This window comes from Homo sapiens, chromosome 8 (genome assembly GCF_000001405.40).
Source record: "Homo sapiens chromosome 8, GRCh38.p14 Primary Assembly".
Classification (NCBI taxonomy): Eukaryota; Metazoa; Chordata; class Mammalia; order Primates; family Hominidae; genus Homo; species Homo sapiens.
Genome location: NC_000008.11, coordinates 660,684 through 687,092, shown reverse-complemented (window position 1 = coordinate 687,092; position 26,409 = coordinate 660,684). Strand labels below are relative to the sequence as shown.

The 26,409-nt window shown below is 51.1% G+C and overlaps 1 protein-coding gene across 29 annotated transcripts in view, besides 3 other annotated features; it reads left to right on the top strand.

The window, feature by feature from the left end:
• Positions 1-26,409, top strand: part of ERICH1 (glutamate rich 1) — a 116,479-nt gene that overhangs the window by 44,132 nt on the left and 45,938 nt on the right. For 11 of the 29 annotated variants that reach the window (XR_007060715.1, XR_007060714.1, XR_007060710.1 and 8 more), the window contains exons 4-5: positions 13,046-13,804; positions 18,301-18,495. Coding sequence is in view for 17 of the 29 variants with exons in the window: in XM_047421403.1 (XP_047277359.1) it covers positions 13,046-13,804; positions 18,301-18,495 (954 nt within the window). In the remaining 12 variants the exon portion in view is untranslated. The other 18 variants (XR_007060706.1, XR_007060709.1, XR_007060708.1 and 15 more) reach the window with 9 other exon arrangements.
• Positions 21,682-21,851: an enhancer, noted in NCBI's record as "active region_26945". NCBI's record gives its function as "activates an Ori minimal core promoter by ATAC-STARR-seq in GM12878 lymphoblastoid cells {active_cell/tissue: GM12878}" and the evidence as "EXISTENCE:reporter gene assay evidence [ECO:0000049][PMID:35858748]".
• Positions 22,826-22,885: an enhancer, noted in NCBI's record as "active region_26944". NCBI's record gives its function as "activates an Ori minimal core promoter by ATAC-STARR-seq in GM12878 lymphoblastoid cells {active_cell/tissue: GM12878}" and the evidence as "EXISTENCE:reporter gene assay evidence [ECO:0000049][PMID:35858748]".
• Positions 24,143-24,644: an enhancer, noted in NCBI's record as "H3K4me1 hESC enhancer chr8:612449-612950 (GRCh37/hg19 assembly coordinates)". NCBI's record gives its function as "activates a minimal SCP1, AML or CMV promoter by ChIP-STARR-seq in primed H9 embryonic stem cells {active_cell/tissue: H9 hESC(primed)}" and the evidence as "EXISTENCE:reporter gene assay evidence [ECO:0000049][PMID:30033119]".

Here is a 26,409-nt window from a genome sequence, read left to right as displayed (position 1 = left end):
GATTCCGTTTGAGTTAAACATCCGTACATGCTCTGTTTTGACAGAATCGTGGCTCTCTCTGCCTTTTGCCTTTCCTGAAGGAGTCCTAGCGTGACTTCTCTTAGCCTTTCCAGAGTGGCTCGTGGGTGGGTGATGGGGCTGCCCCCCGCTCCGCATTCCTCGCATCTCACCCTCTCAAGGGCCTGACAGAGTCAGAGCTAGCAGTGTTTCATTCTTGTCACGCTGATTTATTGATATGAGAGTTCACACATTCAGCTGTGTCCAAGCTCGCCTGGTCCTAGAGGAGGGGAGGGGCGCCCTGCTGTGCGCGCTCTCTCTCTCTCTCTCTGAGTGTCCTGCGAGAGACCTGTTGCTCAGCTGCCTTTACCTACCCACAAGTGGGATGAGAGCCTGGACTTGGAGGTCTCATGCATCCTGGGCCATCAGAAAAGGCTGTGATGGTTTCTAAAAGGTTGGCACTGTGTATGGTCATGTTTTTTGTGTCTTTGGCATCTCCTGGATTCTTCCCGGACTTAATGAAGCCAATGAGAATAGCATTGGCTGTTTGATTAAAGACTGTGGGTGCCGGGTGTCAGGCATGAACTTTGAAATAACTCACCTGTGGGATCTACATGGTTTTTGTTTTTGTTTTTTTTTTTTTTTTTAGCTTGCCTAGGAAGAAACAAAAGAAAAGAATGCATTTGTTCTTATTGCCATTTATTTTCGTAAAACATAGTTACTCGATTTCCAAGCTATTGTTGGCACATATTCCTAAGCAATTTGGATTAGAGAAATGTCTAGATAGTGGTGTATCCTTACACTGCTTTTAGCTTGAAGTGAATGTGTTACAAAAATAGAGTGATTTATGAATATTTTACTAGATATTAATATTTGTTTAATTGAAGTTAAAGAGTATCTGAGAAAAAAAGGTAGAAGATGATGATGATGATGATGATTTTGAGATGGAGTCTCGCTCTGTCATCCCAGCTGGAGTGCAGTGGCGCAATCTCACTGCACCCTCTGCCTTCTGGGTTTAAGCCGCCCTCCTGCCTCAGCCTCCCGAGAAGCTGGGACCACAGGTGCGCACCACTACACCAAGCTATTTTTTTTTTTTTTTTTTTGGTATTTTTTAGTAGAGACGGGGTTTCACCATGTTGGCCAGGCTGGTCTCGAACCGCTGGGGTCAAGTGATCTGCTTGCCTTGGCCTCCCAAATTGCTGGAATTACAGGCCTGAGCCACTGTGCCCAGTCAGTTATTGAAAAAATAATACATGAATTGCCCAAAGCTGAAGAGACTCTCAGGAATAGAAAGATGGCTGAAAGTCCCTACCGTAATAATGAAGAAAGACTCTTGAAATGCCAGACAAGGCCTCGGAAAAAGATGCTAAAATATGCCCCTATTGCAGGAAGTCAGGGACCCCGAACGGAGGGACCGGCTGAAGGCGTGACAGAGAACATAAATTGTGAAGATTTCATGGACATTTGTTAGTTCTCCAAATTAATACTTTTATAATTTCTTATGCCTGTCTTTATTGCAATCTCTGAACATAAATTGTGAAGATTTCATGGACATGTATCACTTCCCCAATCAATACTCTTATAATTTCCTATGCATGTCTTTAATCTCTTAATCCCATCATCTTCTTAAACTGAGAATGTATGTTGCCTCAGGACCCTGTGATGGTTGCGTTAACTGCACAAATTGTTCGTAAAGCATGTGTGTTTGAACAATATGAAATCTGGGCATCTTGACAAAAGAACAGGATAACAGCGATGTTCAGGGAACAAGGGAGATTACCATTAGGTCTGACTGCCTGGGAGCCGGGCAGGACACAGCCGTATTTCTCTTATTGCCGAAAACGGGTAAGAGAAATATCGCTGAATTATTTCCCCAGTAAGGAATATTAATAATTAAGAGCCCTGGAAAAAGAATGCATTCCTGGGGGGACGGAGGGGGATCTCTAAAATGGCCGCTCTGGGGGTGTCTGCCTTATGCAGTTGTAGATAGGGATGAAACACGCCCTGGTCTCCTGCAGCGCCCCCAGGCTTGCTAGGATTAGGAGATTCCAGCCTGGTGAATTCTAGTCAGACCGGTTCTCTGCTCTTGAACCCTGTTATCAATGACAATGTATGCACAGTGGAACATGAAACTTCATCAGCAATTCTAGTTTCGCCCTGGCCTTGTGACCTTGCCCTGCTCATTTGCCTTGTGATATTTTATTGCCCGTGAAGCATGTGATCTCTGTGACCCATACCGTATTTGTACACTCCCTCCCCTTTGAAAATCGCTAATAAAAACTTGCTGGTTTTGGGGCTCAGGGGGCATCACGGAACCTGCTGACATGTGATGTCTCCCCCGGACACCCAGCTTTAAAATTTCTCTCTTTTGTACTCTTTCCCTTTATTTCTCAGACTGGCCGATGCTTAGGGAAAATAGAAAAGAACCTATGTTGAAATATTGGGGGCTGGTTCCCCCGATATCCCCAGGAGGTAAACAGATGTCTTGGCAGAAATTGGAATTAAGCTGCAGGCTTCAGAGCCCCCCTCTTCTCTGTGGTACCACTGAAAACCCGTGAAGTAAATGAGCGTTTTAGTTAAGTTTTCAACTCAAAAAGTCACGAGTCCAAGTCAATGAAGAATATTTACAAAACACTTCACAGTTTCAGAGCCTCACACAAATATAACCTCATTTTAACATTTTTTTGTGGATACATTTACTCTATTTAAATTTACTATTTAAATTTTTTATTTACTGTGGCTTTATATTTATTGAATAATTCAATGGCTTTTCTTCATTTGTACTGTTTTAATTACTTTCTTAACTTTCCTATTCTTTAAATTAAAAAAATTGTCCTGCATCTAATTTTAACTTAATGACTTGCCTCATGGTTTTGACAGTTTTATTTAAGGGAATTTAGCACTTTATTGCCCTATTTTAAGACTTTTATTGCTTATAAAATTTTTATCATTTTGTTGGCCATTTTATGGAAAGTTATAGAAAATGACTAAATGTGAATTGTTTTTAAAAGTATCTATCAAGCTGTTTTATGGTGAGACACTAACTACTTTTCCACTAAGTCAGTTTTTAAGACTCAAACATGTAAACATGAAACATAAGAACAATTTCTTGAGTATGTATAATTCAAGCCTATTCAAAACTAATCTAGAAAATTTGGACATTAATTCGGTATCAAAGTCTGTCTCAGGGAAGAATTCAGGAACTAATCTTGTTGAAGATTATGAAATAATGTGTATTTGGCCACATGTTTAGTAAGTATTCAGAAGGCAGACGTTTAGCTTAGCGGCAGATCACATCCAGAGGAAAACCAACCTTTCCTTTGGTGGTTCCTGATCACCGCCCGGCATCCAAATTCAAAATCACAAAACTTTAGCATCTAGATTGTTGTGTTTTAGCCCAACTCAGTTTTTTATAACGTTGAGGTCCCGTATGGTCTTTCAGTACCATTTGGAATCAAAAGCTAAATGATGTCCTGCAGCTGGCATGGAGCCGGGGGAGGAGGCCACATTTCCAGCTCCAAGGCTGTGCCTCCCTTGTTGTCTTTGGAAATTACTGCTCCAGATTCAGATCTATTAAGAGAGAGAGAGCGAGAATCCATTTTTTTAAAGTGACAGGGAACTCTTCAAGTCCTCTTTATTCCGAGGGTGTTCAGGCACCTGCTGACCCTCACGGCTGACCCTGGAGGGGTGCTCCCCGTCTCACAGGCAGTCCTTGGTGGCTGAGGCCCTGGGGAGAAGTCTCTGTCCCAGGAGCCATGTGAGCTACCTTTATTCCCTGAAGCCCTGTCTGCTGGGTCTGAATTTTATCCTCAAAGGCCAAACCGAACATGAATTCCTCTCTCTGTGGCAGGTCTTCTACATGGCAAGCAACTGCCATGGTCCACGCCAGCCACAGCCACCGCTTGTCCATCCCTGAATCTCCAGGGGTCTCAAACCACCCTGCCCGGGGCAGGACATGCTTCTCAGCAGGCCGGAGTGTCCGCGTCTGTGAGACTCCAGTGTTTCCTTGGCTAAATGAGTACAATCTATGGTGTTATTACAAAATATTTTCCTGGATTTTAGGCAAACAACACACTCAGCAACTGGAAGCTTTTCATGTTACTACATTTTAAAGATCTGCTTTCACAGGTAGGGTTTAGATCAACTTGATAAGAAGTTTACTACTTTTTATTTAGCACCTAGAGGACATTGGTAGCTTGAGGGTAATTATCAGATGCAATTTGTAGCCTAGCTTTGAATCTAGAATAAAGTTCATATTCCCTTTAAAATGCCTAGCCTACTTTCACGTAAGAAGGTGCAGCTGTGAGAATTAGAATCTGAAGACTGGTTATTTTTGTTATCTAACTATTTCTACTCCAGCAGTTCATCAGAATGTAGGTGTCAAATAGTAGCAGAGAGAGTTTTGACACATTGTGACTCCTTTTAAAGTTAGTGTGTCTGAAAGGTGTGTTTTGGGGATGGCAGCTTTTCAAAGCGCACTGCTCCAATTATAAATAGCCCGGCCTCTGGTTCCCTCACATCGCTTTCAGCTGCTGGGTGTGAAGGGCGTAGACCTCCCACATGCCCTGGAGATGTGGACATTCTGGAGTCTCTGGAGTGGTTCTGAAAAGTCATATGGAGGGTGCAGCATGAGTGGAGAAGTCACAGTGCAACAGGGTAAAAGGGCCCGTGTCAGAGCCACCAGGACGCCAGAGCATAGAGCACATGCTCAGGGCCTCAGAGCTGTTTGGATGAAGCCTCTGTTGTTTTCCCCTTGACCTGCTGAGCCAACTGTCTTATTTTGGATAATATTCCTTAGGGTCTTGTGTTCCTCACTAAAGCTGAGAATGGGATGCTTGGCAGACCCCTCAGATGAGACTTTGAGAAGCTGGGAGGTTGTGACTATAATTGTGTTACGGTGGTCAAGACACCTGTCAGACCACCGTGAGGAAGACTTCATTCAGGACATCACCCTAGGTGCAGGGACCACCACAATGGGGTTTTACACGGGGGCAGAGAGACTGGGCTCAAGACCTACTCATCATGGAAAAGTGGGAATCTGTAGCCAAGGGGCAGGGTGGGGGTGGATGGAAAACTTCTGAGAGGAGACATCAAAGGTGAGGGAGAGTCTGGCTAAACAACCCACCAGGATTCTTAATGAAGGCAGACAGGGCGATCAGACGTCACCGAGGCGTGGTGGGGTGAGGAGCCCAATCAGGTGTCAAGGGTGGGGTCCTTGCGAAAGTGACTTTGTTGCTGAGACTGGATTTTGCAGGGAAGCGCACAGGTGGGCCTCAGAGGAGGTTCCGGAGCCTGACGAAGGCTCAGCCGGGCAGTCTCTGCTGGCCATCTTTCCACCCAGATGTAAGTGCGGCTTCTGCTTAAGAGATGGTTTCTGGCTTGGCAGGAAACCTAACAGCACAGTGAAAACATCATTACAAAGAAACAGGTCTGTCTGAATGAACCAAAGCTCAACAATTGCAAAACGGATGGGTTCTGTGGCTTCTGGTGGCAAGACCTCCAGAGGCCCTCTGTCTATGTTAGGTGGAGGGCACTGCTTTGCAATCCTGCTTGCGTTTTGTTCCTTCAAGTTCTGATTACTCTTGCATTCTTTGTATGAGACTCCAATCCCCAAGGAAGGTTTTCTCCATCTCATATATGAAAGTCATTCATAAACATCTTTTTCTCTCAGTTGCCAAATTATTGTGACCCCTGCTGGGTATGTCTCACCACAAATGCAGGCACGTGTTTTAAATAAGACAGAGTTAGAGGATGTTGTTTTTCTCGTGAGCTAGATTATAAGCTATTTTTTACAGTGCTCCATTGTCCAGAAGCATCAGGAACTTTGAGATCTGGGATGGAGTAGCCACCATGACTCAGCCTCCTCAGGCTGGGCAGCGCTGCAGGGCTCTGGGCGTGGCGATTTGGGTGACCCTGGAGCTGCTGTCAAACCCCCAGTTGACAGCAGGGGAAGTGGGGTGCAGAGGCCACAAGCTGGTGCGGCAGAGCCTGCCAAATGCATCCAGTCTGGCTCTCTGGCATACGGTGTTTTTTAGTGGCTTTGGGCAGCATCACTGATGTTCAAAGTGTGCAGTTCATGAGTCTGCATGTAGCATGACCCTGAGACCACTATCACAGTTGAAATAATGAATGTGTCCGTCACCACCAGGTCTCCTTGTGTCCTGAGACTGCCCCTTCCTCCCCTCTGCCCTGTCCAGGAAGCCCCAGTGGATCTGCTCACAGACCCCAGGACTCACAGAAGTGGGGCCAGGTGGTGTGTGGAACTGGGGCAGCGGGGCGATCTGGGCTCTCTCACACACTGTCAGGATGTTGCAGCTCATGATGTGTGTGTTGGTGGCACATTCCTTTTTCTCCTGAGTGGTGACCACTGCATTTGTGACACACTTGCCTGTTGATGGGGTGGCAGCTGTGGATTCTCTTGGATTTTCTGTGTTTACAAGGGTGGCAGCTGTGGATTCTCTTGGACTTTCTGTGTTCACAGGGGTGGCAGCTGTGGATTCTCTTGGACTTTCCGTGTTTTCGGGGGAGGGGTGGCAGCTGTGGATTCTCTTGGACTTTCCGTGTTTACCGGGGGAGGTGGCAGCTGTGGATTCTCTTGGACTTTCCGTGTTTTCGGGGAGGGGTGGCAGCTGTGTATTCTCTTGGACTTTCTGTGTTTTCAGGGGAGGGGTGGCAGCTATGGATTCTCTTGGACTTTCTGTGTTTTCAGGGGTGGCAGCTGTGGATTCTCTTGCATCTTCTGTGTTCACAGGGGTGGCAGCTGTGGATTCTCTTGCATCTTCTGTGTTCACAGGGGTGGCAGCTGTGGATTCTCTTGCATCTTCTGTGTTCACAGGGGTGGCAGCTATGGATTCTCTTGGACTTTCTGTGTTCACAGGGGTGGCAGCTGTGGATTCTCTTGCATCTTCTGTGTTCACAGGGGTGGCAGCTGTGGATTCTCTTGCATCTTCTGTGTTCACAGGGGTGGCAGCTATGGATTCTCTTGGACTTTCTGTGTTCACAGGGGTGGCAGCTGTGGATTCTCTTGCATCTTCTGTGTTCACAGGGGTGGCAGCTGTGGATTCTCTTGCATCTTCTGTGTTCACAGGGGTGGCAGCTGTGGATTCTCTTGCATCTTCTGTGTTCACAGGGGTGGCAGCTATGGATTCTCTTGGACTTTCTGTGTTCACAGGGGTGGCAGCTGTGGATTCTCTTGCATCTTCTGTGTTCACAGGGGTGGCAGCTGTGGATTCTCTTGCATCTTCTGTGTTCACAGGGGTGGCAGCTGCGTTTCTTCCCTTCCAGCTCTTGCACACGTTGTCTCCCTGGTGCCCTGCCTGGAGCCCCAGTGTGGAGGTGACCACAGTGATGTCACAGGACCTGTTGGAGAAAAGGCTTTCAGCATTTCAACATGACTTATGACCTTGCCTGTGGGTTCTTGTAGGTATCCGGTATCCGATTTAGATTTCTTCCTTTGAGGCAGTTTGATTTGAGATTTTATCATACACTTTACATGACTGGAATCTCGTGAATATCTTGCATGGAATATTTGTAGCAGCATCCACGGGAGAGATGGGCCCGTGGCCCTCCCTTCTTGCAATGCCCTTGTCAGGGGAGTGGAGACGCTGGAGGCCTCACAGAGCTGCGAGGGGTGGGTGCTGTGAGGGGTGGGAGCTGTGACGGCCAGAGCTTTTGTGAGGGCTGGGTGCTGTGATGGGTGGGAGCTGTGAGGGGTGGGTGCTGTGAGGGGCCAGAGCTTTTGTGAGGGGTGGGAGCTGTGAGGGGTCACTGCTGTGAGGGGTGGAAGCCGTGAGGGGTCACTTGCTGTGAGCAGTAGGAGCTGTGAGGGATCAAAGCTGTGAGGGGTCGGAGCTGAAGCTGTGAGTTGGGAGCTGTGAGGGGTCACTGCTGAGAGGGACTGGAGCTTTGAGGGGTGGGTGCTGTGAGGGGTGGGAGCTGTGAGGGGCCGGAGCTTTGACGGGTGAGAGCTGTGAGAGGTGGGAGCTGTGAGGAGTCGGAGCTGTGAGGGGTCACTGCTGTAAGGGGTGGGAGCTGTGAGAGGTCACTGCTGAGGGATGGGAGCTGTAAGGGGTCACTTGCTGTGAGTAGGAGCTGTGAGGGATCAAAGCTGTGAGGGGTCGGAGCTGAAGCTTTGAGGGGCCAGAATCATAAGAGGCCAGAGCTGTGACGGTCGTCAGAGCCATGAGGGCCCAGAGCCGTGAGGGACGTTGGAGTCGTCAGGGGTCATTATCTTTTCTGCTATCTGGAAACGGGTATGTAAGACATGTGTTGGCTTTTTCTTTTCTTTTGAGATGGAGTCTCGCGCTGTCACCCAGGCTGGAGTGCAGTGGTGCAATCTGGGCTCACTGCAAGCTCCGCCTCCCAGGTTCAAGCGATTCTTCTGCCTCAGCCTCCGGAGTAGCTGGGACTACAGGCACCTGCCACCATGCCTGGCTAATTTTTGTATTTTTAGTAGAGACTGGGTTTCACCGTGTTAGCCAGGATGGTCTCAATCTCCTGACCTCGTGATCCGCCCGCCTCGGCCTCCCAAGACTTTTTCTTTAAATGTTTAGTAAAAGTCACAGGTGAACCTATCTAAGCCTGAAGTTCTTTTGTGGGATTATTTTTAACTAGACTCATTTTTTAAGACAGATGCAGGAATATTGTGATTTTCTGTTTCTTTCTGTGTCCATTGGCTAAATTGTACTTTTCTCAGGAATCTGTTTCTAACGGATTAACTGATTTGCATGTCGTTGTGTGCAGTATCCTTTCATTACCTTCTTAACACCAACAAGACGTATCGGCACTTCCGTGTTCCCGATGCTGGATTTTCAAGCCTCCTCTCTTAAACTAGACTTGGAAATCAGAGAAATTGGGAGGAAAAAAGCAGCCTATACTTAGACCACCCAAGGAGTAACTGCAGGGAGCATCCTGAGAAAAGGATGTCCAGTCTCTTTTTTTTTTAATGTATATTAACTTTTCCTTTTCAAAAGTACACGCATACACATTTATGTGAAAAAAATATGACAAACTTAACATTTTATGGCCTTTTTGCCTCCTTCACCTTTTTAAATTACTGTTTTATAGTCTTATAAAAATAGATCAATAGCGCAGTCGATCTCAACAGGGCAACCATTTGTTTGTCTTGTAGTCTTAGGAGGGGAAGCTGACCCCGGGGTACGACACTGGCGATGAGCGGCACTGACAGAGCTGGCAGAGAAGGACGTGCCGGGAGGAGCCTGGGGGGTGATGAGCAGCATTCCGCAGTGTTCTTGCTGGGTGATGAGGGTCGCCCCCGTGACCTGTCGCATCCTAGAGGGGCTTCCTGTGGGTGGGAAAACACTCGATGTGTTACTTATCTCCAAATTCATGAAGGCAGTCACATTTTTTAATAGACACCTAAGAGGAGAGGCTTAATTTCATCTTTTTTTAACAGAACCTGGGAAATTAAAATGGATTGCCTAGACGTGGTTGGTTTTAAACATCAGTGTGTTCAGGGCAGACCCAGAGGCTGCTGTTCAAAGACGTCTGGACCAGGCTGGTTGGTCAGACCTGCGCAGTGGACCCCAAAAGCAACAACACACACTCGCAGATGAAATTATTCAAACACCCACTGGTGAGTGAGGAGCGAGATGAAGGTGTCGAGGAGACTCAGGCTTGGCGGCTTCATCTTGGGACTGTGTGCGGAGCTGCTTCAGCCTGTGCCACGCTGTGGTGGTGGAGGCTGTGCAGAACGGATACCAATCACAACAAGACACGGTGGGAACTCTCTTCCACAAAGCGGCAGCAATGTCATCTCACAGTTCCACAGCGGCGTTCAGTTTGACCGTGAACAGAGCTGGGGGGTGTCTACATCCAATGAAGAGGGGAGGCTGGTGCTTGGTAAAATACTTCCTGTATTTTCAGGGTGAGAGAAACCGATGCGACTGCTTTATCGAGTCATGGGGTGGGACTGCGTCACAGCTTGCGGTGTCCGCAGCTGGCGAAGAGCCCGGAGCTCACCCTCTGCAGGGTTCCTGTCCAGCATGCGGGCAGGCCCTGGGCTTTGAGGGCGGTGTGCTTGAGGCTGTTGAGACAGAGGAGAATAGGAAACCGCTTTGAAGAGCTTCATTGTGGAAGAGGAACTCATGTATTCTATCTCATTTCAGAGGTGAAGGGAAAGCGCTTGAGTGGAAATGATAGGGAATCTGCCCTTACAGTGTCTCACAAACTTCACTCACGTTGTTTCATCTTGATTCTTCACAATCTGTGATGGGGTGCACAGCTCAGAAAACTCCAACAGGCGCTTCCTAAAATGAGAACTGTCTGAACCCCCGCCCTTGGCGTGGTGCAGCGGCAAGCTTTATAGTTCTAGGTCTGCTCGGGCAACACCCGGGAGCCGTGTGCCGGCCGTGGCACAGACGCCCGTGGTATAGACTTTACCCATCAGTGTCTGGGCGGGGCTTGGGTGTGGGGCGGGGCGTGTGCGCCATGTGCCGTCTGTTCTTGGCCTGCACACACCCTCTGTTCCCCCCGCATGGCGCCAGTTACTTATCTGATACCCTTCTGTCAGGGAGCAGCAGCACGGGTAGTGTGCCTCTGTCCTCACGAGGGGCCGCCGCGCCTCTGTCCTCACGAGGGGCCGCCGCGTCTCTGTCCTCGCCGAGGGGCCGCCGCGTCTCTGTCCTCGCCGAGGGGCCGCCGCGTCTCTGTCCTCGCCGAGGGGGCGCCGCGTCTCTGTCCTCACGAGGGGCCGCCGCGTCTCTGTCCTCACGAGGGGCCGCCGCGTCTCTGTCCTCGCCGAGGGGCCGCCGCGTCTCTGTCCTCGCCGAGGGGGCGCCGCGTCTCTGTCCTCACGAGGGGCCGCCGCGTCTCTGTCCTCACGAGGGGCCGCCGCGCCTCTGTCCTCGCCGAGGGGCCGCCGCGTCTCTGTCCTCGCCGAGGGGCCGCCGCGTCTCTGTCCTCGCCGAGGGGGCGCCGCGTCTCTGTCCTCGCCGAGGGGGCGCCGCGTCTCTGTCCTCACGAGGGGCCGCCGCGTCTCTGTCCTCACGAGGGGCCGCCGCGTCTCTGTCCTCACGAGGGGCCGCCGCGTCTCTGTCCTCACGAGGGGCCGCCGCGTCTCTGTCCTCGCCGGGGGGGCGCCGCGTCTCTGTCCTCACGAGGGGCCGCCGCGCCTCTGTCCTCACGAGGGGCCGCCGCGCCTCTGTCCTCACGAGGGGCCGCCGCGTCTCTGTCCTCGCCGAGGGGGCGCCGCGTCTCTGTCCTCACGAGGGGCCGCCGCGCCTCTGTCCTCACGAGGGGCCGCCGCGTCTCTGTCCTCGCCGAGGGGGCGCCGCGTCTCTGTCCTCGCCGAGGGGCCGCCGCGTCTCTGTCCTCACGAGGGGCCGCCGCGTCTCTGTCCTCACGAGGGGCCGCCGCGCCTCTGTCCTCACGAGGGGCCGCCGCGTCTCTGTCCTCACGAGGGGCCGCCGCGTCTCTGTCCTCGCCGAGGGGGCGCCGCGTCTCTGTCCTCACGAGGGGCCGCCGCGTCTCTGTCCTCGCCGAGGGGCCGCCGCGTCTCTGTCCTCACGAGGGGCCGCCGCGTCTCTGTCCTCGCCGAGGGGCCGCCGCGTCTCTGTCCTCACGAGGGGCCGCCGCGTCTCTGTCCTCGCCGAGGGGCCGCCGCGTCTCTGTCCTCACGAGGGGCCGCCGCGTCTCTGTCCTCGCCGAGGGGCCGCCGCGTCTCTGTCCTCGCCGAGGGGGCGCCGCGTCTCTGTCCTCACGAGGGGCCGCCGCGTCTCTGTCCTCGCCGAGGGGGCGCCGCGTCTCTGTCCTCACGAGGGGCCGCCGCGTCTCTGTCCTCGCCGAGGGGCCGCCGCGTCTCTGTCCTCACGAGGGGCCGCCGCGTCTCTGTCCTCGCCGAGGGGCCGCCGCGTCTCTGTCCTCACGAGGGGGCGCCGCGTCTCTGTCCTCACGAGGGGCCGCCGCGTCTCTGTCCTCACGAGGGGCCGCCGCGTCTCTGTCCTCGCCGAGGGGCCGCCACGTCTCTGTCCTCACTGAGGTGTTGAGACTGCCATGGTTTATCCATGGTGCTTCCTGCCCACCCTCTCCCCAGCCGCCCGTTTCAAGCCATGCTGCCCCTCTCAGCCTGTGAGAATTGGCTGTGCTACCTCTTCTGTTCCGCAACACCACAGTGGTAGTTTGAAATCGGCCACGGGGGAAATATTTACACCAGGGAAATGAGCAGATTGGAGGACTCAGGACTTTTCCGAGAGCTGGTTATTAGCCATTTACCAGCACATCACCAACCTATGCTATTTATAAACCACCTTCTGCCAACCTGGAGTCCAGCTTAGCTTCGTGTCAAAACGCAACCTGATGCTGACTCAGATGGGCAAATCATCATTACTTATTTTTTATTCTCACACACAAGTAACTTTAGAAAGGACTAAATTGTAAAATAAATTTTTTAAAAGAACAAAAGAAATACGGGTTTCCCCCCCATAGAGGGAAAGGCCCATAGAAATGAAATTTTACTATAAAAATGCAACAACTGGCCAGGCGCAATGGCTCATTCCTGAAATCCCAGCACTTTGGGAGCCCGAGGCAGGTGGATCACTTGAGACCAGGAGTTTGAGACAACCCTGGCCAACATGGCGAAACCCCGTCTCTACTGAAAATAAAAAAAATTAGCTGGGCATGGTGGTGCTTGCCTGTACTCCCAGCTACTGGAGAGGCAGTGGTACCGGAATCACTTGAACCTGGGAGGCAGAGGTTGCAGTGAGCCGAGATTGTTCCACTGCACTCCAGCCTGTGCAGCAAAGTAAGAGTCTGTGTCAGGAAAAAAAAAAAAAAAAAAAAAGCAACAACTTGTACATCCTTCAAAACACACCATATATTATGATTGTCGCATCTGTGAGTGTATGTACTGCTAATTTATATTACGTTAGTCCTAGGATCTTTGATGGTAAAGTTGAGAATCACCGAAGTAAATAGTGTAAACTCTTTTTCTACTAAAACTACAAGATCCTGATGGAAAATTTATTTAGCCTAATATGTTTGTTATGGTTTCATTGTACTGAAAATTGTTATATTTGAATTTTTTTAACAGATCAGGATCCTCATGACCAGCCAAAGAGAAGAAGAATTAGGAAGCATAAATCAAAGAAAAAATTTAAAAATCCCAATAATGTTCTTATAGAACAAGCAGAATTAGAGAAACAGCAGAGTCTGTTACAGGAGAAATCTCAGCGACAGCACACAGATGGCACCACAATAAGCAAAAATAAAAAAAGGAAACTGAAAAAGAAACAGCAAATTAAAAGGAAGAAAGCAGCCGGCTTGGCAGCAAAGGCTGCTGGTGTCAGTTTCATGTACCAGCCCGAGGACAGCAGCAATGAAGGGGAAGGCGTGGGAGAGGCTTGTGAGGAGGATGGTGTGGACACCAGCGAGGAAGACCCGACACTGGCCGGGGAGGAAGACGTTAAAGATACCAGGGAGGAAGATGGTGCGGACGCTAGCGAGGAAGACCTGACACGGGCCAGGCAGGAAGAGGGTGCGGACGCCAGTGAGGAAGATCCGACACCGGCCGGGGAGGAAGACGTTAAAGACGCCAGGGAGGAGGACGGTGTGGACACCATTGAGGAAGACCTGACACGGGCCGGGGAGGAAGACGGTAAAGACACCAGGGAGGAGGACGGTGCGGACGCCAGCGAGGAAGACCCGACATGGGCTGGGGAGGAAGAGGGTGCAGACTCCGGGGAGGAGGACGGTGCAGACGCCAGCGAGGAAGATGATACAATTACCAATGAAAAGGCACACAGTATTCTAAATTTTTTGAAGTCAACACAGGAAATGTATTTTTATGACGGTATGTTTTTTACTGTTTTTCTCTTGCATAGTGACATCCACTTAAAAGTTTATTAAAAGAAACAAATATAATGCTTAAATGTTAAAACATACTTTAAAAATATTCAATGTAAAATAATTAGTTGTAAGGCAACTAATATAAGTAAAAAATATTCAATGTAAATAATTAGTTATAAGGCAAAGATCAGAGTATTTATGTGCTTTCCACCGATGATGTGGATGGGCATGCGCCCCTGGCGTATCCAGAGAAGCAGTGTGGTGGCCCTGGCCAGCTGTGCCAAGGACAGGCTGGCCCCGTGTCCTCCATGCCTCTAAGGTCAGGTTTTGGAGTGTGTTGGCATCCAGGCTATTTTTCTAAACAAGAGATAAATCCAGATTGGAGGTTTTGATGAGCTGAGCTCACCTTCATAAGCAGACTGAGAGGTGAAGGAAACACAGCTTGCGCCTTTAGGACAGGTTTCATTTTCTCTTCCACATAGAACGGATGCACGATTTCTCAGCATGCATTATTGTGCAGTTGTTTGTACTGACATAAGATAAGGAAAATAAACATAGGTTTAATGTCACAGATGGCACTTGCTTACATCTGCACTACGCTTTGTTGACAGCTGACCTAGGGACACGTGGCTGCCCCAGAACAGAGATACTCACCGTGCGCTGGCTTCCTGGCTTTCTTCTCTTTAATTTTTTTTAATACTGTTTAATTTTTGTGGGTATAGGTGTCTTTTCAATGACGTTACCAGCAGGTTCAGGTTAATGTGGTGGGTTTAGCAGATCCAGATTTAAGCAAGGCATTTGATGGTGTTCTTATGAGCAAGATTGAGAAATATCAGCTATGTAATAATTTGGGAAGTAAGTAACTGATTTTAACAAAGATGCAGAAGTACCATTTTTAATAGATTGATTTCAACACGAAGAGCACTCTAGCCTCTTCCTCTTTAGCGTGTTTCTCAGCAGATTGTATTAACAAATTGAAAACATATATCCAGATGGCACATCAGGAAGACATGGCTAAGACACTGCAAAGTAGACGCAGAATTCAGAAAGATCTCAGTAAACTTTCTATTCTGTGTGTGATCGAGCAGCTTGGGGCAGACCAACAGTCATGCCAGGAGTAACCAGAAAGCCAGGATGGGAAACACCTGTTGAAGGGATCAGGAAGCTACTCAGGAAAACAGCTCATAGAAAGATGGAACTCCTGGAACCCTCACGGGGAGATTATCATGGAAACATCTGCAGCCACTTGTCTTCAGGAATCTGCAAGTCCTGTGTGTGGGCGTTGGGTGAGGGTCTGGGGAAAGGACCTGGTGGAGCCCAGAGAGGCAGAAAAACCAGCCTCACAGGTTGAGAAACCAAAAGCAGAGCCTGGAGCCCAGTGAGCACAGACAGAGCCGGGGCTGGCAGGTTCAGAGGTCGCAGCCTGGAGCCCAGTGAGCACAGACATTAGAGCCGGGGCCGGCAGGTTCAGAGGTCTCAGCCTGGAGCCCAGTGAGCGCAGACATTAGAGCCGGGGCCGGCAGGTTCAGAGGTCTCAGCCTGGAGCCCAGTGAGCGCAGACATTAGAGCCGGGGCGGCAGGTTCAGAGGTCGCAGCCTGGAGCCCAGTGAGCACAGACATTAGGGCCGGGGCCGGCAGGTTCAGAGGTCGGAGCCTGGGGACCAGTGCGCTCAGTGGTCGGAGCAGGGGCCAGCGGGTTCAGAGGTCAGAGCCTGGGGACCAGTGGGCACAGACATTACAGCCAGGGCCGGCAGGTTCAGAGGTCGGAGCCTGGAGCCCAGTGAGCACAGACATTAGAACCGGGGCTGGCACGTTCAGAGGTCGGAGCCTGGGGACCAGTGAGCACAGACATTAGAGCCGGGGCCGGCAGGTTCAGAGGTCTCAGCCTGGAGCCCAGTGAGCACAGACATTAGAGCCGGGGCCGGCAGGTTCAGAGGTCTCAGCCTGGAGCCCAGTGAGCGCAGACATTAGAGCCGGGGCCGGCAGGTTCAGAGGTCGGAGCCTGGGGACCAGCGCGCTCAGTGGTCGGAGCAGGGGCCAGCGGGTTCAGAGGTCAGAGCCTGGGGACCAGTGGGCACAGACATTACAGCCAGGGCCGGCAGGTTCAGAGGTCGGAGCCTGGAGCCCAGTGAGCACAGACATTAGAACCGGGGCTGGCACGTTCAGAGGTCGGAGCCTGGGGACCAGTGAGCACAGACATTAGAGCCGGGGCTGGCAGGTTCAGAGGTCGGAGCCTGGGGACCGGTGGGCTCAGGTGTTGGAGCAGGGGCCGGCAGGTTCAGAGGTCGGAGCCTGGGGACCAGTGGGCTCAGGTGTTGGAGCTGGGGCTGGCAGGTGCAGAGGTTGGAGCCTGGGGGACCGGTGGGCTCAGAGGTTGGAGCAGGGGCCGGCGGGTTCAGAGGTTGGATCCTGGGGACCGGTGGGCTCAGAGGTCGAAGCAGGGGCCAGTGGGTTCAGAGGTCAGAGCCTGGGGACCAGTAAGCTCAGATGTTGGACCTGGGGCCAGGGGGTTCAGAGGTTGGAGCTGGGGCCGGTGGACTCAGAGGTCAGAGAACAGAACTCAACACTGCATGGCTTCCCTTAGAACCTTTGCCCAATTCTGAAGCTGTGGGTGGAAGATGAGAAGCCACACAGAGAGCCTCCGAATAACATAGGAGCCTCTTGGCCATCTTGAGGTGCTGATGAGATGAGGATCGGCCTGACCCTCGAGCCCAGCAGAGCAGGGCAGCCCAGAAGCAGATGACACTGTCCCAAATGTGTGGCCACCCTGGAGTCAGCTCAGTCCCTGCACGGTCCAGGGGATCCCCCTCTACTCGGTCTGCCTGGCGGAGCAAAGGGTGAGCCCTCTAGAGGAAAATGTCGCCATCCTAGACCTCTGCAGTCTTTCCTATGCGTTCAGCAACAGTTTACCGGGCATGCCACGAGACAGGACCACAGCACCGAAAACCACGAGAAAAAAAGAGCAGTAGAGCCACAGTGGGAGAGGCCGATGTTATCAGATAAGGAGCCTAAAATAAGGGGAAAAAGGAAAAATTGGAGCATTTCGCCAGGTAATTTGAATCTACTAAAATAATCAAATGGAAATTTTAGGCCTGAGAAATATAGTAACTAAAATTCAGGCCTCAAAAGACAGGGAAACAGCAAATGAGAGTTGGTATAAAAGAGAATTAGTGACCAGGAAGACAGGTGAAAGAAAGTCCCCAGAATGCAGAGTGGAGAGAAAACGGGTGGAAAACACAGGAAAGAGCCCGGCAGACATGGAGTGGGAAGTTGTGTCCCTGAAACAGGCCCAGGTGGAGAGGAGAGAGGACGGAGCGGGGGCAGGACGGAGATGTGACATTTGGGAGTTTTACACCATTGTTACAGGACACAGAGTCACAGGTTGAAGAAGTCCTGCCAAGTCCAAGCAGGGTTAACGCCGAAACCACCAGAGGCAAGTGAATTGCAGTCATACTGCTGAACAGCAGCCAGAGAAACAAGACCAGCAGCCAGATCCAGGGGAAGTCGGGGGCTTGTTTTCAGTTCTCCTTGATTTCTTCTAAACAGCCACAGTCTGATTCTTTTTTTAAGCGATGTGATGTGGACATAGAGAGCTTGCTTTCATTGTCTGGTTTAACCTGCTGCTGTTCGTAGCCCTGAGTCGTGTGTTGGACAGGGAAGGCGTCTCACCAGACAGAGGTGTAGACGGGCCAGGGGAGGCGTCCCACCAGACAGACGTGTAGACGGGCCAGGGGAGGCGTCCCACCAGACAGACGTGTAGACGGGCCAGGGGAGGCGTCCCACCAGACAGACGTGTAGACGGGCCAGGGGAGGCGTCCCACCAGACAGACGTGTAGACGGGCCAGGGGAGGCGTCCCACCAGACAGACGTGTAGACGGGCCAGGGGAGGCGTCCCACCAGACAGACGTGTAGACGGGCCAGGGGAGGCGTCTCACCAGACAGACGTGTAGACGGGCCAGGGGAGGCGTCTCACCAGACAGACGTGTAGACGGGCCAGGGGAGGCGTCTCACCAGACAGACGTGTAGACGGGCCAGGGGAGGCGTCCCACCAGACAGACGTGTAGACGGGCCAGGGGAGGCGTCTCACCAGACAGACGTGTAGACGGGCCAGGGGAGGCGTCTCACCAGACAGACGTGTAGACGGGCCAGGGGAGGCGTCTCACCAGACAGACGTGTAGACGGGCCAGGGGAGGCGTCTCACCAGACAGAGGTGTAGACGGGCCAGGGGAGGCGTCTCACCAGACAGAGGTGTAGATGGGCCAGGGGAGGCGTCTCACCAGACAGAGGTGTAGACGGGCCAGGTTTCCACAGTCGTTCATGCAGTGGTATTTTGTGCTGAGCTCTGTTCTGATTCTCTCTTCTGGTAGCTTCTCATCTCCCAGATATGTCATTCTGTGTGGAAGCGTAGGTTTGAGACCTTCCTTAAGAGAGGAAAGCTTATCTTTAGTTTATAGAAATAAAAACAAAACTGTATTTCCAAGCAAAACTGACTTTATGTAGGTGTCTCCAGAGATGCAGCTTCAGCTGCCCTCGCAGATGCCGCTGAGGAGCTGCTGGACCGCCTTGCGTCACACAGCATGCTGCCCTCAGACGTGTCCATCCTGTACCACATGAAAACGCTGCTGCTCCTGCAAGATACTGAGAGATTGAAGCATGCTCTGGAAATGTTCCCAGAACATTGCACGATGCCTCCTGGTAAGTACCGTACGATTTATTCAAGGTCCTGCTTAAGATACTCTCATCGAGGTTTGCCTCTGAAAGACTTACACGCCACCAAAACAGCAATGAGTTGGAAAATATGACACTGCACATATGGCATGGGAGAATAGAGTCCCAGAGAGAAACAGGCTTCCTGCATCTCTGCTTGATATAAAAATATTTCACATAATATATGCAGAAATGCATGTGCAGTCTAAGTTTCCGGACTTGGGAGCTGTCAACTCTTGGAGCCAAATTTTCCTAAGTTTAAATAGAAATGAATTCATTTCTTCCTCTTTTCCTTCTCCTCTACTGCTGTGGTAGATGGTAAATTTTTGCTTACCTCCAACTCTCTGGTACCTTATTGAACCCCTGACGTGGTGATGACGACTTTTATTTTCTGCCACCTTCACCGGGCATCCTTTTCATGCAAACTGTTGTGTGCTGGAGCAGCTGTGCTCATGTCTTCCCAATGCCGTGTGCGGTGACACAAGCTGTGGTGAGGGTATTCAGGCCACAGAAACCTGCAAATGCTGAAAATCAGAAATTCAGGCTGTTGAGCCATTCACCTGCACACCACTGAGTGCAGAGCAGCCCACCTGGCCCAGGGCTGGCGTCCCAGAGGAGGAGTGGAGGAGGGTCCGTGGCACCCGTCAGTGGCACCTATCCCAGAGGAGGAGTGAAGGTGGGTCCGTGGCACCCGTCCCAGAGAAGGAGTGAAGGAGGCTCTGCAGATTTTGTGGAGGGAGTTTCAGAGTAAGTGTCGGGAGTGGTTTCTGTCCGTAGAAACCACATTGCTGAGGGGTCAAGACCAGCATGTTAGAGAAGCCAGGTAGCAAACAGTTACATAACCACGGTATGATGATGCCGTGGCACTGGTGCAGGGAGCCGGGGGCTGCAGGGACCACAAGGCTGGAGTCACAGCGTGCAGAGCATATGGGTGCTGGAGGAGCTGCCTTCATGCAGAACGCCCTCATCCGTCAAGGAGCTGTTGGCTTTGTGTTGCCCTGCATGGTGCTGTGGGCTGTGCAGCCTACCACTGGGGAAGGCTGGTGGGGACCCCACCCTGGGGCGCTTGCTCCCTAGCTGAGGAGCTGGAAAAGAAGCCAGATACTCGGTGAGATGCGTCATAGAGCTGCAGATAGATCCTGGAGATGAGGCTGTGGAGGAGCGGGAAGAGGAGGGTGTTGTTGCAGCCAAGTGCGCATGCGCTGAGATGGGTGAACCCATGTGTTTGGGAACTGCGAGGAGCCCGGTGGCTGGACCAGGGGATGGATGTGAGTTGCAGAAGGTGGAGAAGGTGAAGAGGTGACAGGGCCAGGCACATGGGAGGAGCCCGGTGGCTGGACCAGGGGATGCACGTGACAGGGCGAGAGGCATTGAGTGAGTCTCAGAAGGGGGAAAGGTGACAGGACCAGGCACATGGGACCCCGGGCATGTGAGCCTTGTGGGCTTCTACGCAGACAGAGACAGGAGGTTCCTGGAAGCTATGAGGCTTCTGGGCTGTTATCTTGAGGCTGGATGGAGGAGATAGAGAATGGAGACCAGTCTGGGGCTGCTGAGGACCTGCTGAGAGATACCTGCAGCGTGGACCAGGTGGGGGTGGCTGAGGATTTGCCAAGAGGTACTTGCAGCATGGACCAGGTTGGGGTTGCTGAGGACCTGCTGAGAGGGGCCTGCAGCGTGGACCAAGGTGCAGCCACAGGTTAGGCAGCTGTAGCCAACGTCCAGGTGGACCATGGAGGTAGAACCAGTGGGAGCTGCCGAGTGGCCGGTGAGGCACTGGGAGGACCAGGTCACCGCGAGGAGGAGGAGGGGCTCCCAGAAAGATAGGGTTTGAGGTGAGAGGCCCTGCCCAGAGCGCAGTGCTGGGCAGCTATGCAGGTGCCAGTCAGACCTCAGGTTCCAGCTGAGGCTCAAGAGGGCCATAAGGCCCGGAGTGCAGGGAGGAGAGAGATCAGGGACAGTGAGTACAGATGCCCACCAGGAGCGTGACCAGGGACCATGAGAAACGACACTGGAGGAGGAAGCAGGGCCCGCGGGCGACGGAAGAGAGAGGAGGGGCCCCAGCAGGAAGGTGGCAGTGCTCCTGAGAAGGCACCTGTGTGTGCGGAGAGGGCGGCGTTGGCCCCAGGCGGGCATCTGTTTCTGGTGGGTTGTCAGGCCTCTTACAGCAAGTACTTAACAAACTTAGATTTCCATAATCAGATTTATCTCAAACCGCAAAAAAAAGCTGATTTTATTATGTTAAACTGATAGGAGATTTTTATGAGAGATGAAAGTAAGCGATTTTAACTTTTTAATTTTTTTAATTTTTGCTCTGTTTCTCACACTTGAGGCTTTTCTGAAATTCACCAAAAGAGTTTTGGCAGTTGTGGGGAATTTACCAGAACCCCCCATTATTAAAACAATTGGTTTCTTATATTAAAATCATCAGACAGGTTTTGTGTACACAGACATTTATGTTAAGCCACTGATAGAACTAAACTGTGTGTAGGAACCTGTTTTCTCTAAGAAAGGACTCCTTTGAGTTCTGTAGGATATGTGCTTAAAGGTTTTCTGTGTCAAGCTATTTTATGAAATAAAATTTTACAAACAATGAAGCTTCATTTTCACACGTTGTATTTGTTTAATGCAGACTTGGCCTATACGAGTTTTTGAAATTAAGGGTTTTTTCCGTAAAACTAGCTTAGGAGTTTAATGAGTCACTGTGTCTCTCACCTCTGTAGGATGAGCACAGAGATCACATTTGAGAAGCAGGTGTGGGTGTTTTCTGCTGGTCACGTCTCCTCTGCCTCTCCTCTGGCTCAGCAGTTACTTTTCCTCAGTCATGGGGGCTGCATTCAGCTGCGATGCCAGCATTAGGGCCAAGCTCTCCCGCTTCTGTGACGTTTTATTACACGTACTCTTTATCAGTAGTAGCTGCCATTCCCTGAGTGTTCCTCCCACCGTGCACTGAGAAGGGCTGAGGATTTCCGAACATCAACCTCCTCTAATTCTCTGTATGGGAATTAGATTTTTATCATCCTGACTGTTGGGGCTTTCTAGAGCTCAGGCAACTTGCCCCTGGGCGGGATGGAGCCTGCCTGGGGGGAGTGTGAATGAGGCTTCTGTTGTCTGTGGCTTGGCTCTCTGTGGTTGGAAACTTCAGAAGCAGTAGATTCCAGGTGCAACATTTGGTGCCCGGACAAGTTGTAAAACCTGACCTTGGGGAGGGCCTTCACTGGCAGCCAGTGTCCACCCGTGAGCCCGGTGAGCACAGACGTTAGAGCCAGGGCCGGCGGGCTCAGAGGTTGGAGCCGGGGACCAGTGGGCTCAGAGGTCGGAGCCGGGGACCAGTGGGCTCAGAGGTCGGAGCCATGTCCCTGCCGTGAAGCTCTGAGGGTTGGTGGTGACATCAGGGGCGATTGTGGCATCGCGATTGTGGTGTCTTGGCTGCCTTTGGCCGGCGCTGCCACTGCCCTGGTTTCATGACGTAGGCACCACATGGTCCTGTGTTGTCTCACTTACGGCTCCACTTCTGGCTTTTTTCTACTTGCTCACCCTTGAGATAAACTTCTATTTCATTTTCATTTCGGTTTATATGTGGGTTTTCTTCCAGGTCTGATGTTAAGCCTATAATATTGCAATGTGATGTTTTGAAGTTAAGGTGTAATAGAGCCAGTGAACCAAGGGTTCACACCCCAGTGAAATACAAATATTCAGAATTGAGCCACTGTGTTGCCATACTGATTATGTAATGTGTGATTAACAAGTATAATGTGTCACTTTCAACATCAGTTTCATGCCAAAGTTGCATTTTATTAGATTATTTGGGAGTTCACTTTGGGCCCAAAGGCTCGTGTCTACATAATAATAACTTATGATTTTTCTTTTTGTCTTTGTTTTATTTTTTGTTTTGTGTTTTTTGCTTTCTAGACCATGCCAGAGTAATCTCAGCTTTCTTTAGTTACTGGATCACACATATCCTTCCTGAGAAGAGCAGTGACTAAAATGGAATATCTCTTTAAGAACAGCTCCTCTTTAACAAAAAAACTTAAAAGACAAATGTGAGATGGGCTTAGAGTTAGTTCTCTGGGAACTTGAAAGACATTTATGCCATATTATTTATTCACGTGTTTGTTCCTGGTGGGCAAGATGCCATCTGAGGCTTCAGATGAGAAATTGGGGTAAAATGGAAATTTTTCACTTATTTGCAATTATATATATCTTGAATTACTACATAAAACTTGATTCTGTTTCTCTACTTATTGTAAAAATTGAAAATGGACATTCTGTTAAGTTAAATGTATAGTTTGAAGCTCATATATTTTTATGAAGTTTTGAATCACCTTGTATCTGAAAGTCTCTGCTTTAAGAATGCTTTCTGGGTATTAAAATGTTCTAGTTTAAGTAGTTTGAATATAGTTGAGTTTTTTTTCTCTTCTCTACTTTGTGAATCATATCAGGTACCTGTTTTTCCTGTTTCGATTTTCTTTTCTGTCATAGAAGCAGTCGTCAGTTCTTGGTATTACTAAGTGTTAAAAGCATCAGTCAGGCCGGGTGCGGTGGCTCACGCCTGTAATCCTGGCACTTTGGGAGACCGAGGCAGGCGGATCACAACGTCAGGAGATCGAGAGCATCCTGGCTAACACGGTGAAACCCCATCTCTATTAAAAATACAAAAAATTAGCCGGGCGTGGTGGCGGGCGCCTGTAGTCCCAGCTACTCTGGAGGCTGAGGCAAGAGAATGGCATGAACCTGGGAGGCAGAGCTTGCAGTGAGCTGAGATCGCACCACTGCACTGCAGCCTGGGCGACAGAGCGAGACTCCAGCTCAAAATAAAAAAAAAAAAAACCATCAGTCAATTGGTACAGCATTTTGTGAGGGCAGGTGCCTCTATCTATGAAAGGGTTTTATTGTGGTAAAACATACATACAGCTCATTTTAGTCATTTTAGGTGCATGATTCAAGGTACCACATGCGTTTGCTGGGGCCACCACACTCGTCCTGTTTGTGGTGAGAGCATCCCTCTGTGTCTTCCAGGACCCATGTGTGCCCTGTCCCGCCTGTCCTGCCTGTCCCGCCTGTCCCGCCTGTGAGCATCCGTGTCCCAGACGCTGTGTGGGTGCCAATCTCTCTTCCTCTAGGGAGTGGAACTGCACGGTCGCCTGGTGACGGTGATGTTCTGAGGGGGTGTCAGGCGGGCTGCTGGGCTCCCCACTCCCCCAGTGCTGATCAGGGCCATTCTGACGGGTGGAGGTGGCTGCTCAAGTGTTGCTGTCCTCTTCTGTCTGTCTTTGGAGAACATCAGCCCAGACCACCCCTGCCCAAAGCTGATGCTCAGATGGGCAGCATGGAGGGAGGGGAAGGAAGCCTTGGCGTCCCCGCCGGCCCCTGTCCTGCCACTTCCCTCCAGGTCCCTAAGAGACGTCTCTTCTACATGTTGGAACCTTCTGGAAGCAGGTGAAACAGGGATGTTTCTGGCTCTGGAAATAGTCCCCTTGGATCTGGTGGCCTTGCAGTGTCCCCGTCTTGATGCAGGTTGTAGGCCCTGGAGCACAGGCATGTGGCAGCGGACGCCACTCTTCCCAGCGTCACCCGAGGACAGGACGCAGGCTGCTCCAGACAGGGTGTTCCCAGGAGGCCACACATGAGGCAGGAGCTGCAGGCGCCGCTGCTTCACCGTCTTTTGGCATCAGGGGAGCTGTGGTTGTCTGCAGGGCGCCCTGCCCGCCCCTGCCCTCCCTTCTCTTCCCCTAACTCCGAAGTCATTGTGAGGCGTGGGAGTGGCCAGGAGCCGCTCTTCCCACAGTAAGAACCTGTGCTGCAGTGGTGTCCAAGCCGGACTCCTGCCTCCATCGAGAACCTCCATGGCCTTGTGGAACCTGGGATCTCAGAGGCACCAGCCTGCAAACCTCCCGTTTAAATGCTTCTTTTTTTATTTTTTATTTTTATTTTCTTTTTGAGATGGAGTCTCGCTTTTGTTGCCCACGCTGGAGTGCAATAGTGTGATCTCGGCTCACCTCAACCTCCACCTCCCAGGTTCAAGCGATTCTCCAGCCTCAGCCTCCCAAGTAGCTGGGATTACAGGCATATGCCACCACACATGACTAATTTTGTATTTTTAGTAGAGAAAGGGTTTCTCCATGTTGGTCAGGCTGGTCTTGAACTCCCGACCTCAGGTGATCCACCCGTCTCACCCTTCCAAAGTGCTGGGATTAGTGGTATGAGCCACTGCACCCGGCCTAAATGCTTCTTAATTAATAGCACATGCTTTGCAAATATGAAAATAAATTCAATATTGGCAGACTCATAATTTTACTATTCTTAACGTCCCATTTGTGTCTTTTAATGATGAACCATCTCCACCTTCTCCATCCCCTGCAAGTGAATGCACCATTGCAGGGGTGGTGGGTCATGTGTAGCCTTTTCCTGGGTTGCACAGAATCCCTGCCCTTGCAGGGGATGGTGGTTCACATGTGGCCATTTCCTGGGTTCCACAGAATCCCTGTAGGTTCCACAGAATCCCTGCCATTGCAGGGCTGGTGGGTCATGTGTGGCCTTTTCCTGGGTCCCTGTAGGTTCCACAGAATACCTGCCATTGCAGGGGTGGTGGGTCATGTGTGGCCTTTTCCTGGGTTCCACAGAATCCCTGTAGGTTCCACAGAATCCCTGCCACTGCGGGGGGTGGTGGGTCACGTGTGGCCGTTTCCTGGGTTCCACAGAATTCCTGTAGACTCCCTTCTTGCTTCTGTGATCCTGTGGGGCTTTACTTTGCGAAACCTTCTGCATTCACTTTCCTGACCCTGAGAATATTGAGGAATAGAGGTACAGTCGAGCAGGTGGGATGCTCAGGGTTAATTCGTTTTGTGTATCATTCTGATTCCAAAAAGGAAAATGCATCTTCTACAAAACAAAAGCAAATAAATCTTGTCTCTAATATGTCAGCATAGATATGATAATCTGTTTATTCCACTGTGTTTGAAGTTAGATAATAATTAGATCAATTTATCTTCTACAATAGTGCAAAATATTCAGTTCATGTAATTTATTTTCTGTAAACCACGTCAATTAAGACAGGCAGAGAAGGAAACAGTCAGGAGCATGAGGAATTGTCAGGTTGCCAATATTAAGACAGTTGTGCCTAGAAGGAAAAAAACACAGAATATCTGAGCCTGTCAGTACTGCTTGCACCCTGGGACCTCCGCCTGTGTCTGCAGAGCCTGAGAAGAGAGGGCTTGCACAAGCCGGTCTCTAATTTGTTTCCCAGGCCCAGCTGCCGCCAGGCTCCAGGGCAGAACTGTGGTGGGTTCAGGAGACTCCAGGGCCCACAGGGTCAGTTCTGGGCTTTGCTTTTTTGTGCAGCTCTTGCCCCGAGCGCTCTCCAGGTGACATGTCCTCTCATCCCGGGGCTCTTCAGAGAATCGCAGGAATGTGTTCCACCCGCTCCAAAATAAGAAATGTGCATGCATCTGCCCCGCCTCGCACCAATATTGGGTACAGCTTTGAAGGGGTCAGAAATTCCTCAAAACTTATTCAACAGGATACTGTGGTGCAGTGAGTTCCCTACCAGGTTACTTAGGGCTTTGGTCCACTGCGTGAATCCTGAAGGCTGAGAGCGAGCCAAGGTCACAGTGCCTGGCGGAGGAGCAGGTATCCCAGGAACCCGGAGCTAGCCTGAGAACCGCCCAGGACCCAGCGGAGGAGCAGGTATCCCAGGAACCCGGAGCCTGCCCGAGAACCACCCAGGAGAGCAGTCCCATATAGCTCATGGCCGGCAACGAGACAGGGAGCACAGGTGGAAGCAGCTCGAAAGCTGCGGATCTTAGCGCTGTCCTGAGGCTGCCCAGGCAGGCTGTGTCCCAGCCATTCTTTCATCTCTTGCTCCCTCCCAGTTTGGGCCAGGGCCAGGGATGGAGGAAACTGAAT